At 44.4% G+C, this 14,473-nt stretch overlaps 1 long non-coding RNA gene across 6 annotated transcripts in view; it reads left to right on the top strand.

Annotated features, from left to right (window-relative positions):
• LOC105373418 (uncharacterized) overlaps positions 1–14,473 on the top strand; it is a 74,555-nt gene that overhangs the window by 34,247 nt on the left and 25,835 nt on the right. Inside the window, exon 3 of one of the 6 annotated variants that reach the window (NR_187867.1) lies at positions 2,878–5,419. The exons of the other annotated variants lie outside the window; for them this stretch is intronic. This is a non-coding gene — a long non-coding RNA (uncharacterized LOC105373418). Of the gene's footprint in view, positions 1–2,877; positions 5,420–14,473 lie in introns of those variants that run through there. 6 annotated transcript variants of the gene reach the window in all.

The raw sequence follows: 14,473 nt of genomic DNA on the forward strand, positions 1-14,473 counted from the left end.
GGTTTCACCATTTTGGCCAGGCTAGTCTCGAACTCCTGACCTCAAGTGATCCACCTGCCTCGGCCTCCCAAAGTGCTGGGATTACAGGCATCAGCCACTGTGCCCAGCCTGTTTGAGTCTTTTTCCCATTATTTAGTTGGGTTGTTCATTTTCTTACTGTTGAGTTTTAAGAGTTCTTTGTATATTTTAGATAACGGTTTTTAATCAGAAGTGCCTTATGCAGACATTTTCTCCCAGCCTGTGGCTTGTCTTCTCTTTCTCCTGACAGTCTTTCTTTTGAAGAGCAGACCAGGTGTGGTGGCTCACGCCTGTAATCCCAGCAATTTGGGAGGCTGAGGTAGGTAGGTCACTTGAGGTTAGGAGTTCAAGACCAGTCTGGCCAACACGGTGAAACCTCGTCTCTACTAAAAATATGAAAATTAGCCAGACATAGTGGCTCATGCCTATAGTTCCAACTACTTGAGGGGCTGAGCCAGGAGAATTGCTTGAACCCAGAAGGCGGAGGTTGCAGTCAGCTGAGATTGCACCACTGCACTCCAGCCTGGGTGACAGAACGAGACCCTGTCTCAAAAAAAAAAAAAAAGAGAGAGCCACATTAAGTATTTAATTTGGGGTTTTATTGAGAACATTTAGGCTGGGTGTGGTGGCTTACACCTGTAATCCCAGCACTTTGAAAGGGCTCAGGTGGGAGGATCCCTTGAGGCCAGGAGTTTGAGACTGGCCTGGGCAACATAGTGAGACCCATCTCTACCAAAAAAAAAAAAAAAAAAAAAAAAAAAGAGAGAGAGAAATTAGCCAGGTGTGGTGGTGCACACCTGTAGTTGTAACTGCTCGGGAGGTGGTAACTACTCAGGAGTGTGAGGCTACAGTGAGCTATGATCATGCCATTGCACTCCAGCATAGGCAACAGAACTCTAAAAAAAAAAAAAAAAACCCAGAAAGCTGAGGTCCAGGGAACAGCAGTCATGCCATGTCATTGTTGCCATCACCATGATCACCATCATTGTCAACCATTTATCTAACACCTACCCAGTGTGCGTGCTGAGGCTGGAGAGAAGGATAAGAGGTGGTCCTGCCCTCGGGGCTTGCAGTCGGCTGGGATGATAAGTCCTGCAGAAATTTAGTGGCCGAGCTGCCACTAGAGCTCAGGTCTCTCTCTGGACTCCCAGACCAGGGCTTATCCTGTTATATTGTGGCCTCTTCTATTCTATCGCCACAGTCACACGGGGGTGAGTGTCCTTAGGTGAGATGCTAATTTAGACTATAGATAGATCCTAACACATAAAAAGATTATGTTTTGGATAAGAATGGTGATTCTGGCTCAATGCCCAGTACAGGCATTGGGATGTTATCTGAACTGAGTGCCAGACAAAATGAGATATTAAGAATGCCTGGAGAAGGATCTAATAGGACCTGGCTTGGATCAGGTGTCCACCTCTGGGCCAGTCATCTGTGACCAGGGGCAGAGTCATGGCCTGTTGTAGGGTGGGTGGAGCGGGGAGGGATAGCATTTGGAGATATACCTAATGTTAAATGATGAGTTACTGGGTGCAGCACACCAACATGGCACATGTATACATATGTAACTAACCTGCACGTTGTGCACATGTACCCTAAAACTTAAAGTATAATAAAATAAATAAATAAATAAATAAAACAAGTTGGGAAGCTCCTGCTAAAATCAAAGGGTTAGAGTCAGAGGAGGAGCGGTTCCCCCAAGAAGGCATGCTTCCCAGAAGGGAGGAGGTGTCAGGCAGACCAAGCAGTAAGTGCCCTCTATAATGACAGAAGCTCATTCAAGAAGATATTAAAGATATTTAAAAAGGAGAGAGGCTCTGTCCTCCTGGGGTCAAGGATGTTATAGTACCCACTCACTTAGAATTGAAAGTGAAGGGGAACAAGTTGGCAAAGAACCAAGGGCAAGAAAGCAAAAGACAACCTGCTGTGTGGGAGGTAGTTGAATTTGTGTGGACGCTAAACTGGTACAAATAAGGGAACAGGGAGTGGGAAATGAAGTTTTGGGAGGGAAAAGTTAGGAAGGGGCTAAACCCTGGCGAACTGGATGCCAGAACTGATGCTTTAAATTGTAGACTTTGGGATTGGGTTGCGGGATCAAATAAAGAATGCTCAGTTAAATTCAAATTTCAGAAACACAATGGATATTTGCATGAACATACTTATGCTAAAAGAGTATTCATTGTGTATCTGAAATTCAAATTTAACTGGACATTTTTTTTCTTAAACCCGTTAATCCTATTTGAGGAGCCAGTGAAGGGTTTTGGGCCAATGCTTGCCTGAGGCCATTGACTCGATCCAAACTCCAGAACCTCTTACCTCCAAAATCTTGGGCAGTGAAACTGATGCCCATTACAGTGAATCAGGCTTTGCCAGCTACTTGGTTCCTTTTGAATTCTCCCAGAAAGACTGAATCCCCAGCATGGAGTGTTAAGTATAGTCTTTTAATGTCTCAATGCTTTCGGCTCTGGCACATCTATCCTTTGTCACCGTGGTAACTCAATCTGAGCCACAGAATTCAATTAACCAAATGCCCCATTTCCTTGAGGATGACTAAGTAGTCAAACTCCCCAGGCTTGCTGACATCATCCTTGATCTATTCCTTCAGTGAGCTTGGTTATAAACACAGACGGAAATTAAGAAACAAGAATCACAGATTTGCAAACGTGTTGCTGTCTCTTCTGTCCCCATCCTTACTCTATGGCGGGGAGGTCGCAGGGCGGGGCCTTGGGAAACTGCACAGCTCTGGCTTCCCGGATAGCTGTGAGAAGCAGCACAGTGCATCTTCACAGCCAGGACCCCGAGGGGATTGTTATAGCACACCCAGGAGCGCACTCCCTCAGCAATTTTCACTTACAACAGAGAGGAGTCTGTCGGGAAAACATGCACCCTCTACAAAGGAGTGATTCAGATGACCTGGTCTCAGCTTCCAGCTCCTCTGCTCTCCAGCCGTTCACACACTCCCCATCACAGGAAGATTTGTTAAAAGCCAACCAAGAAAGAGAGAGAATTTGAGATCCTGCACAAACAATCCTAGAAGGTGCCAGAAGCTGCCAGAAGCTTCTTCTTTTCCAAGAAGCCACCACTTTGACTGCAGCCACAAATGACTGCCCACTCCTGCAGGAAGACAGGAGGACCCCAGAGCCCTATGTGCTCTGCCCCTGTCTACAGACCTGCCTCTCACCGCATGCCCACAGTCACCACATGTCAGCCATGGCAAACTACCTGGGGACCCCCAAGCGACCTGCTTGTGGGGCTCTGCACCCTGGTGCCAGTTCTTCTTTTAGCCTGGGGTCCTCCACCTGCCCTCTGCCTCAATGGCTCAGTAGAGCCTTCAGAGCTCACATATCAGCTCCTCCAAAAAGTGGTGCCGGACCCTGCCTCCCGTCCCTGAAAACCGAGCTTGCACTGTCACATTTAACATGTTGTGCCTGACCTATTCTTCTACACTTCTGTCCTCGTGACGTGGGGTCTGCTGGAGGCCAGTGAATGTGAATTTTATCTTTGTACTTGCAGGGCACAACACGACACTAGGTATGGATTAGATGCTCAGTAACAATTTTAAACTGGTTTAAAAGTAATTCCAACATTGCAGAAGGGTCTAAGGCAAAAAATGAATAAAAGTTTCCTGCCACTTCTCAATCTCATTCTTCAGAGGCATCCACATACACGAGGAAAGCAGTCTTCTAGATATTGACTACGCCTGAATGACCATACTACATGTGCACTCAGGCACCGAGCACATAAGCATATGCACAGGACCATATAAGCCACGCTGTCCCATGCTTGCCCTTTTCACTTTAGCAATGTATCTTTTTTTTTTTTTTTAAGAGGCAGAGTCTTGCTTTATCACTCAGGCTGAAGTGCAGTGGTGCAATCATAGCTCACTATAGCCTTGAGCTCCTGGCTTTGAGTGATCCTCCCACCTCAGCCTCCTGAGTAGTTGGGATTATAGGTGAGCCACCATGCCTGTCCAGCAATTGAGCTTTATTTTATTTTTTTGAGATGGAGTCTCCCTCTGTTGCCCAGGCTAGAGTGCAGAGGTACAGTGCAACCTCTGCTTCCTGGGTTCAAGCGATTCTCCTGCCTCAGCCTCCTGAGTAGCTGGGATTACAGTTGTCCACCACCATGCCTCTCTAATTTTTTGTATTTTTAGTAGAGATGGGGTTTAACCATGTTGGCCAGGCTGGTCTTGAACTCCTGACCTTAAGTGATCCTCCTGCTTCGGCCTCCCAAAGTGCTGGGATTACAAGTGTGAGCCACCATGCCTGGCCTGGCCAGCAATATAGCTTTTAAAACTTTCCATGGCAACATGTATAGATCTACATTAATCTATCGATGCATAATATACCATAATAGAAGTCTAGAAAAGTCTATTTAAACAATCTCACATTTTAAATTGCTTTTTTTCTATTTTAGACAGTGCTGTATCCGCATCCCCTCTCTCTCTATCTCTCTTTTTTTTTCTTTTTTTTTTTTTGGAGACAGGGTCTCACTCTGTTGCCCAGATTGGAGTGCAGTGGCTCTATCTCAGCTCACTGCAACCTTCACCTCCCGGGTTCAAACAATTCTCCTGCCTCAGCCTCCCGAGTAGCTGGGATTGATTACAGCTGCCTGCCATCACGCCTAGCTAATTTTTGTATTTTTAGTAGAGACAGGGTTTCACCATGTTGGCCAGGCTGGTCTCAAACTCCTGCCCTCAGGTGATCCACCCACCTCAGCCTCCCAAAGTGCTGGGATTACAGGCCTGAGCCACCGCACCTGGCTGTTATAATCTCTTTTTATATGCACCTATTTGCTTTTGTACATGGGTATAGGACAAATTTCTAGAAATGAAATTGGTAGGACATAGAAAGGGCATTTAGAATTTGTCAAAGGTCTCCGAAAAGGTGGCAACAAATCAAACTCCAAGCACAGGGCAGGAGTCTTTTTCCAGAAACTCTTGCCAACACAATGTAGTCACCTTTGTAATTTTTACTAGTCTGAAGAATACAATTCACTCTTCTGACTGGCACTAATTTGAGAAAAGTTGTATTTTTAAAATGTTATCATTGGTCATTTGTATTTCTTTTTCAGTGAACTACTTAGTTACAATATCCTTTGCTCATTGTCCTATTTGGTATTTTTCGCTTTCATATTGATTTGCCTAGGTCCTTTAGATTTTAATGAAATTAGCCTGTATACATACATACATATATATATATATATATATATATATATATATATGTATAAAATCTCTTCCCCCCCAGTTTGTTGTATATTATTTCTTCTTATTTCTTATTTATTTATTTTTGCCTCATAAAAGTTTTAAATATAAATTTAGTAGTCACATTTAACAATCTTGTCCTGGCTTCTGAGCAGATACGCTCATTAAAAGATACGAGTAAATAAAAGAATAAACAAATTCCTATAGCTCTCATTAATTGTACCATATTTTAGAATATACACAGTCATATTATTTTTATTATTATTTTATGTTAGGTAATATTACTTCCTCACTGAAATTGAAAGCAGGATTTGTGATTTGGACTTCTCAGTAGGCTGATATTCTACTAAGTTCTTGAGTTCTGCCAAGCACCACCTGTATTAGTTCGTTCTCATGCTGTTGTAAGGAATGCCCAAGACTAGGTAATTTATAAAGGAACGAGGTTTAATTGACTCACAGTTTCACATGGCTGCGAAGGCCTCAGGAAATTTACAATCACGAGGAAAGGGGAAGCAAACACGTCCTCCTTCACATGGCGGCAGGAGAGAGAAGTGCAGAGCAAAAGCGAGAAAAGCCCCCTATAAAACCTCAGATCTTATGAAAACTCATTCACTGTCACGAGGACAGCACGGGGGGACCGCCCTATGATCTAATCACCTCCCCCAATATGTGGAGATTACAATTAGGATTACAATTCAAGATGAGATTTGGGTGGGGATACAGAGTCAGACCATATCACACCCATGCCTCAAAGCCCAGCTCCCATGTCTCAGGCCCACGCAGACGTAAGACACCCTGAAAACCAAGCCCATCCCAGTGCCTGCTTCCAGGCCTTCCTCCATCTATGGCCTGAAAGTCTGTGTTTCCCCCAAAATTCATATGTTGAAATCTAACTGCTGAAATGATGGTACTTGGAGGTGGGGCCTTTAGTAGGTGATTACATCATGAGACCACACCCTCACGATGTGATTAGTGCCCTTAGAGAAGAGACCCCAGAGAGCTGCCTTGCCCCTTCCACCATGTGAGAACACAATGAGAAGATAGCTGTCTATGAACCAGGAAGTGGGTCCTCTCCAGGCACTGAGTCTACCAGCACCTTAATCTTGGACTTCCCAGGTTCTAGAACTGTGAGGACAAAATTTCTATTGTTTACAAGCCTATGATATTTTGTTATAGCAGCTGGAACAGACTAAGACACTGCACATGACAGGAGGCACAGCCCAGCCCAGTCCATAGGACCCATCAGATCCGAGGCTGAAAGAGTCCTAAAAGTTGTGCCCAACACCCTGGCTGTAGCATGTGGTGGGACTGCAACCTCGTGGGGTCCTTCATCCATTCCTTCAGGCCCTGGACTGAGTGCATGGAACTTGGGGAAGAGGGGCAGCATTCCTGCCTTCAGGCTGAGAGAACATGTGGGTGCCTGCACAGGTCTGTCCAGCCCTGCCTGCCACAAGCCCACGATAGGCTGCCTGCCGAGTTCTCTTGCTTGGGTCATAGGACCCTGCCTCATTTCCTGGGCCTGGGCCTGGGCTCTTTCCTGCTGACCTGCCTCATGCTCTGGGACACTCCAGCTCTCACCTTTCCACCTCCACAGGTGCTATAATTCTGTGTCTGAACCACACACTTGTTCCTGGAGCCCCAGTCCCTGCCACTCTTCTTGCTGGCCTCCCGCAAAGTGGCATGTCAGTGACAGTACCCCAGTGGGACCCTTCTGTCTTAGTCTATCTGCTGTATTATCTGCTGTAATACAAGGCCATTAACTGGGTGGCTTATACACAACAGAAATTCATTTCTCACAGATCTGGGGTCTGGGAAGTCCAAGGTCAAGGTAGATTTGGTGTTTGGTGAGGACCTGCTTTCTGATTCATAGACGTGTCCTCACATGGTAGAAAGGGGAAGGCACCTCTCTGGGGCCTCTTTTATAAGGGCATTAATCTCATTCTTGAGGGTTCTGCCCTCATGACCTAATCATCTCCCATAGGACTCTCCACCTAATGCCATCACATTGGAGATTAGGTTTTGTAGGCGCTGAAGCAACTCCATCTTGGATGCTAGTCTGCCATGTTGACTTCTGATTAATTCCAGTTCCAGGAATGCCTCTAAGATTTCTGCTTTATCTACTGTTTACTGTAAATCCTCCACACAGGCAAACTCTTTCTGAAGCACATATATCCTTTCTTTATGGTACATAGGCCCTGGGTCTGGGAGATGATAAGGACTTGGAGATCCACCATCTTGCCCAAGACATGCCTTCTGTTCCTAAGCCTCTATTAGATGTTTCTTTCTGAGAAACTGGATTTTGTCAGCCTCTTTCTTTGGCCTCTCAGCTCCCCTTGCCTTTAGGGGTAGGTTTGCATAGATCTGCCTGCCACAGAACAGTTTTCAACATATGGATTTTTGGGGGGACACAGGCGTTCAGTCCATAGCATCTTCCCCTACATTTTGCCTGATTAACACTTATTCTTAGGATCATACTCCCATTGAATGAGTGCTATGTGCTAGACTCTGCTTGATCCCCTGCACATTATTTCCTTTACTGTTCACCAACAATATTTTGCGAGTTGTGTTATATCCCCTTTTACAAACCAGGAAGCCAAGAGTCAGGGAGAGGAAGCCAGTTGCCTGAGATCTCCTAACCTTGAAGGAGGAGGGCCAGCAGTTCAACCCTCTCTCCCTGAGGCTCCTGCAGGCCTCAGCTCCATCTGCTGCACTATAATTCCTTCCAGCCACAGGCCTGCCCCCAAGACCTTTCTCCCACAGACAGTAGTTCAGGCCCAGCCCTTCCCAGCCTACCCTCAGCCACCACAGCCATCCTGAGGTAGAAGTTACTTCAGGCCAGGCATGGTGGCTCACACCTGTAATCCCAGCACTTTGGGAGGCCAAGGTGGGAGGATCACTTGAGCCCAGAAGTTTGAGACCAGCCTGGGCAACACAGTGAGAACCCGTCTTTACAAAAAGTTGTGTAAAAAATTAGCTGCGCGTGGTGGCACGTGCCCATGGTCCCAGCTACGCAGGAGGCTGAGGTGTGAGGAATACTTTAGCCTGCAATGTCACAGCTACAGTGAGCCGTGATTGCACCACTGTGCTCTAAGCTGGGTGACAGAGCAAGCTGTCTCAAAAAAAAAAAAAAAGCAGTTATTTCACCTCCTTTATTGCAGATTGCTACAAATATAAACAAAAAGAAGTAAAAGCATTCCCTTCTTCTTCTGCTCCCACCTAGGGAGAAAACTGGGCTGTTTGGTAAAAGCCTTGGCGGCAGAACGTGTGCATTTGCCTGATCTCTTCAAGGCTCCCCAAGCCACACTCCTCAGAGACCGGTTCAGTGCCCACACTCCCTCCCCAGTCCCTCCCCAGGAAACAAATGTGGTGATGGCTTCCTCCTCTGCCTGCCATGGGCCCAGGCCTGAAGGAAGGAGCCATTAAGCTGAGAGAATGGGCTCTTTCCTCTCTCTTTGTTTCATTTTTAAAAATTGTTGAGTCATTGAATGAAACAACATATGAATACATTATTCTAGTAGATGGATACAGACATATAAAGTAAAAACTTGAGGCCGGGCACGGTGGCTCACGACTGTAATCCCAGCACTCTGGGAGGCCAAGGCGGGAGGATCACCTGAGGTCAGGAGTTGGAGACCAGCCTCACCAACATGGTGAAACCCCGCCCCTACTAAAAATACAAAAATTAGCCAGGTGTGGTGGCACAGGCGTGGTGCCTGTAATCCCAGCTACTCGGGAGGCTGAGGAGGAGAATCGCTTGAACCTGGGAAGTGGAGGTTGCAGTGAACCGAGATCGCGCCATTGCACTCCAGCCTGGGCGACAGCAAGATTCTGTCTCAAAAAAACCCAAAAAACAAAACAACAAAACCTTGAAGCTCCCCAAAAGAAATTACTAACAGTATGTTATACATCACACACATACACATACACAAACACAAACACAAATGTGATGTCATAGTACATAAAATACTATTGTCCCATTACTTGCTTGTTTAAATTTTTACTTTTACATATTAAATTTGACTTAGAAAAAGTTCCACGTGAGGATATACAGCTCCACTTCCTTGTTTCCAAGGGTTATGAAATATCTTATAGTAAGATTTATTTATTTATTTATTATTGTTTTGAGACAGGGTCTCACTCTGTCACCCAGGCTGGAGTGCAGTGGCGTGATCACGACTCACTGTAGTCTCAACTTCCCAGGTTCTAGCAATCCTCCCACCTAGCCTCTCAAGTAGCTAGGCACACAGGCACGTGCCACCACGCCTGGCTAATTTTTAAATTTTTTTGTAGAGACAGAGCCTCATTATATTACCTAGGCTGGTCACAAACTCCTGGGCTCAAGTGATCCCCCCGCCTCAGCCTCCCAAAGTGCTGGGATTACAGGTGTGAGCCACTGCACCCGGCCTAGTAGGGTTTTAAAATCTTAGCTGGACTGGCTTTCAAATGGTGGTCCTTGAAACCCTAGCGGAATCCAAAACCCTTCAAGGAGTCCTCAAGGTCAAAATTATCTCTATAATATAATAATACTGAGCTGTCGTGCCCTGTTCACCGAGGTGGCCTTTGCACTGATAGTACAAAAGCGATGGTGTGTAAACTGCTGGCACCTCGGCATGGATCGGGGCAGAGGCCCCAGGCTGCTCTAGCAGTCACTGTGCTCCTCATCACCTGGCAAACACAGACTCAAAAAAAGAACAGAAAGAATGTCCTTGGTGAAGCTGTAGAAATTACTAATTTTATAAAATCTCAACCTTTGAGTACATGTCCTTTTAATATTCTGCACGAGGAACTGGGAAGTGATCACATGCGACATTTGAAGAAAAGCACTTGCATCACGCAGGTGCAGGCTGAACTAGCAGCGTTTTTCAGGGAGTGTCGTTTTTACTTGCAAAGGACAACTGACAAACAAGTGCTGCTTATTCCCACTTAGATGTTTGACAAACATTTCCACAAAATCAACCGAGGAGGCTGTTGCTTCAAGGAAAACAACTGACAGCATTTGTTGGCAAAAAAACCAAATTGAGTTTTCAACTGAAAAATTAGAATTTAGAAAATTTGTATCTGCCACCTTCAGCTAAGCCTCCCAGTACTTAAACAACGATGAGCCATGGGTAAAGATGAATGAGTGTGGTTTTTGTTTTTTATTTTTTTTGAGATGGAGTCTCACTCTTGTTGCCCAGGCTGGAGTGCAGTGGCGTGATCTCAGCTCACTGGAACCTCCGCCTCCCGGGTCTAAGCGATTCTCCTGCCTCAGCCTCTCAAGTAGCTGGGATTATAGGTGCGTGCCACCACAGCTGGCCAATTTTTTATATTTTTGGTAGAGATGGGGTTTCACTATGTTGGCCAGGCTGATCTCGAACTCCTGACCTCAAGTGATCCACTCGCCTCGGCCTCCCAAAGTGCTGGGATGACAGGCGTGCGCCAACGTGCCCGGCCTGTTTTTTAATATTGTATGATGAAACATATCAACATTTGGACGCTCTATATCACTCAGTGAACCAATACTTTGCAAATAACAAATGCATTATGTTACAAAATCATGCATGGGTAAGAGATGCATTGAAAGTAGCAGATAAAATAATGGATTTTAATGTAACCAAGCATAAAAAGTTCATTGATGGAACTCAGATTCTCCACTGCAACTACCTCTAAGAAACTACCCTTTTTTTTTTTTTGAGACGGAGTCTTGCTTTGTGCAGTGGCACAATCTCGGCTCACTGCAACCTCCGCCTCCTGGATTGAATCTATCCTCCTGTCTCAGCCTCCCGAGTAGCTAGGACTACAGGCGCCCGCCACCACACCCAGTTATTTTTGTATTTGTCGTAGAGATGGGGTTTCACTACATTGGTCAGGCTGGTCTCAAACTCCTGACCTCAGGTGATCTGCCCGCCTCAGCCTCCCAAAGTGCTGGGATGACAGGGGTGAGCCACTGTGCCCGGCCTAGCTATTCTTTAAATTCTGCAAACAAACCAAAATATCACAATGGATTGAATTTAAAAGCAGGTACAGGTTTTCCAACTGTAAAACAGTGCCACTCTTCTCAGGAAATTTATTTTTGTTTTGAAAAATACAATTATATTTCAGAAGGTATATTAATGTGTAGTGGATAATCATTATTTCCTCTTCGTCTTTTTTTTCTCTCACCCAGGCTGGAGTGCAGTGGCGTGATTGCTGCTAACTGCGGCCTCCACCTCTTGGGCTCAAATGATCCTCCCACTCCAGCCTCCCCAAGTAGCTGGGACAACAGGTGGGTACCACTATGCCTGGCTAATTTTTGTATTTTTTGTAGAGATGGGGTTTCACCATGTTCTCCAGTCTGGTCTCAAACTCCTGAGATCGGGTGATCTGCCTGCCTCACCCTCCCAAAGTGCTGGGATTACAGGCATGAGCCACCATGCCTGGCATTATTTTCAATTCATTAATAAACATACGTTTTAAAACTTTTATCTATTTTAATTTCCAGTATGGTAAATATTGATAGATATAACCTGCATAATTAAAAGCTCTTTGGATTTTTTGATACTTTTTAAGAATGTAAAGATGTCCTGAGACCAAAAAATTGAAAACAATTGCTACAGATAATGCATTGTCAGACCTGGAGGCTGGTCGTAACACTTGACCCTGCTTTAGCCAGAACAGGTAGCTTAAGAGTCATTCAGGGACCAGATATCTCTGACAATTATCTATGTCCCTGTCTCTGGCAGACCCTCCTCTACCCAACAAACACACACACACTCCTACTCTTTTGTGTTCTAGGAAATCAGGTAAATAGATTTGTTAAAATTAAGTGTAAATTTGAATCAATAGACTTCAAACAAGGAAAAAAGAGAGTAAAGTGCTTAAATTTTATAACACCTATTTAGGAAACTCGGAAGCACTGTTTAACAAACTTAGAGATTCCCAATTTTTCTGGGAAAATGTCCCTTATTGCTTTCCCACGCAGAGTAGTGGTCCATGAAGCAGTAAGACCAACAGCATCTGTAGCTTGTTAAGGATGCAAATTCATGATTTCTTACCCCAGGCTAAGTCAGGATACACATTTTAAGAAGATACTGGCCGGGCGCAGTGGCTCACGCCTGTAATCCTAACATTTTGGGAGGCCGAGGCAGGTGGATCACTTGAGGCCATGAGTTCAAGACCAGCCTAGCCAACATGGTGAAACCCCATCTCAACTAAAAAAAAAAAAAAAATACAAAAATGAGCTGGGCGTGGTGTCACATGCCTGTAATCCCAGCTACTCCGGAGGCTGAGGGAAGAGAATTGCTTGAACCTGACAGGCGCAGGTTACGGTGAGTGGAGATGGTGCCACTGCACTCCAGCCTGGGCTACAGAGTGAGACTGTCTCAAAAAAAAAAAAAAAATCCCAATGTAATGTTTATGCACATTAAAGTTTGTGAAGCACTGCTCTAATATGAGGATTTTATAATCTAGAGTCTAAAATTCAAAAACACTTCTAATTTCCAGGATGGTTGACAGGCTATTTGGAACAATCTTCCTACTGAAAGAAACTAAAAAATATGAGTAAGACGTGTCTTGATGAAAGCATTAAAGAAATATTAAGACACCAAGAAACCACCACATCAAAAATGAAGGGAACATTCGTTCAGAGAAGTAAGCCAGAATTAGAATGCTCTTTCTCTGAGGTCATTTGCTAAAACCAGAAAATTAGAACCTAAGATTCTCAAGATGAGAAATATAGAATTAAAATCTGTAAATGGAAAAACCCCTGTGTTACTAGTGGAGAGTCTTGACTACGAGTTGTCCAGGTTCTTGGCATTTTGAACAAAAAATTAGACAAAACGCAAAAACAAAGCAATGAAAGAATGAAGCAACAAAAGCACAGATTTATTGAAACAAAAGTACGCCCCACAGACCGAGAACACTCCAATAATCAGCACGCAAGAGTGGGGGGTTATAGACTTTTCTGGGGTTTAAATACCCTCTAGAGGTTTCCCATTGGTTACTTGGTTTACACCCTATGTAAATGAAGTAGTGGCCCACAACCAGTCTGATTGGTCGTGGAAGCGACCAATCAGAAGCTGAAATGAAGTTACAAAGTTATACCCCTATGCAAATTAAGACTAGGCCCACGACCAGTCTCATTGGTCGCAGGAAGGGACCAGTCAGAAGTATTTTCATTTTTCATCTGTGAGGCAGAAAAAGGGGAGAGGGGTTACAAAAAGGAGTTTTTCCTTTTGATTCAGTTCTGGGAAATCAGTGTGAACCCGCCTTAGGTTCCCTGCCTCCAGACCGTATTCTCCTGCCTCACCTGGGTCAGAAACTCTCAAGCCTTGAACCTGGTGCCTAGAAGGAACAAATATATATCCTCTTTGGGGAGGCGTCTTTATCAATGGGTGGCAAATTATTCCTTTTGAATACAATGAGCAGACCTGTCACAGACAATTAGGCTCTCACAGAAAATAGGCAAGAACCAGAGTATTAGAAGCTATAGTGACTAACAAAATCAAATGCAGGCTTGAAGATTCTTTAGGCAATAGGAATCTTTCAGAAGTCACATAGAAAATTTGAGAAAGAACCTCATAGAACTTGTAGAAATAATAAAATGCAATAATTGAAATAAAAACCAAAAGGACGGATTTCATAGCAGTTTGTACATAGCAGAAGAGATATATTAGTGAATTGTAAAATAGGTTAGAAAAACGTTTCCGGAGTGCAGCATGGAAAGACAAAAAGATGGAAGATTCCAGTGACAAGGCAAGAGATATAGAGCGAAAAAGCCCAATATAGGCTGAAAGCCTAGAAAGAGAAGAGAAAGACAATGTGGCAGAGGTGATATTTGAGGAGATCATGGCTGAGAATTTTGTGGAACTAATAAAAGGCATCGATCCGCAAATTAAAGAATCACAGTGAATCCTAAACTGGATAAATAAAATGAAATCTACACTGCAATACGTCACCGTGAAACTTCAGAAAAACCACCAGAAAGTGATAACCTGGGAAGTAGCTAGAGAGAAAAATGCACACGAGCCAGAGGGACTGAGAGCTGACTTCTCAAAGCAACTCTAGAAGCCCAAGATAACAATTCAACGGGCTGGCAATAATTGCTAACTTAGACTCCCACACTCCACACAAACGTCTTTCAGAAATAAAGACAGTTTCATACAAGGACAGTTGAGAGAGTTTGTCACACAAAGACTTAAATTCTAAAGGATGTACTTCAGTTAGAAAAAGGATAATTCCAGTTGGAAAGTCTGTGGTACAAAAGGAAATGAGGAACAAAGAAACTGGTGAATG

This window comes from Homo sapiens, chromosome 2 (genome assembly GCF_000001405.40).
Source record: "Homo sapiens chromosome 2, GRCh38.p14 Primary Assembly".
Taxonomy (NCBI): domain Eukaryota; kingdom Metazoa; phylum Chordata; class Mammalia; order Primates; family Hominidae; genus Homo; species Homo sapiens.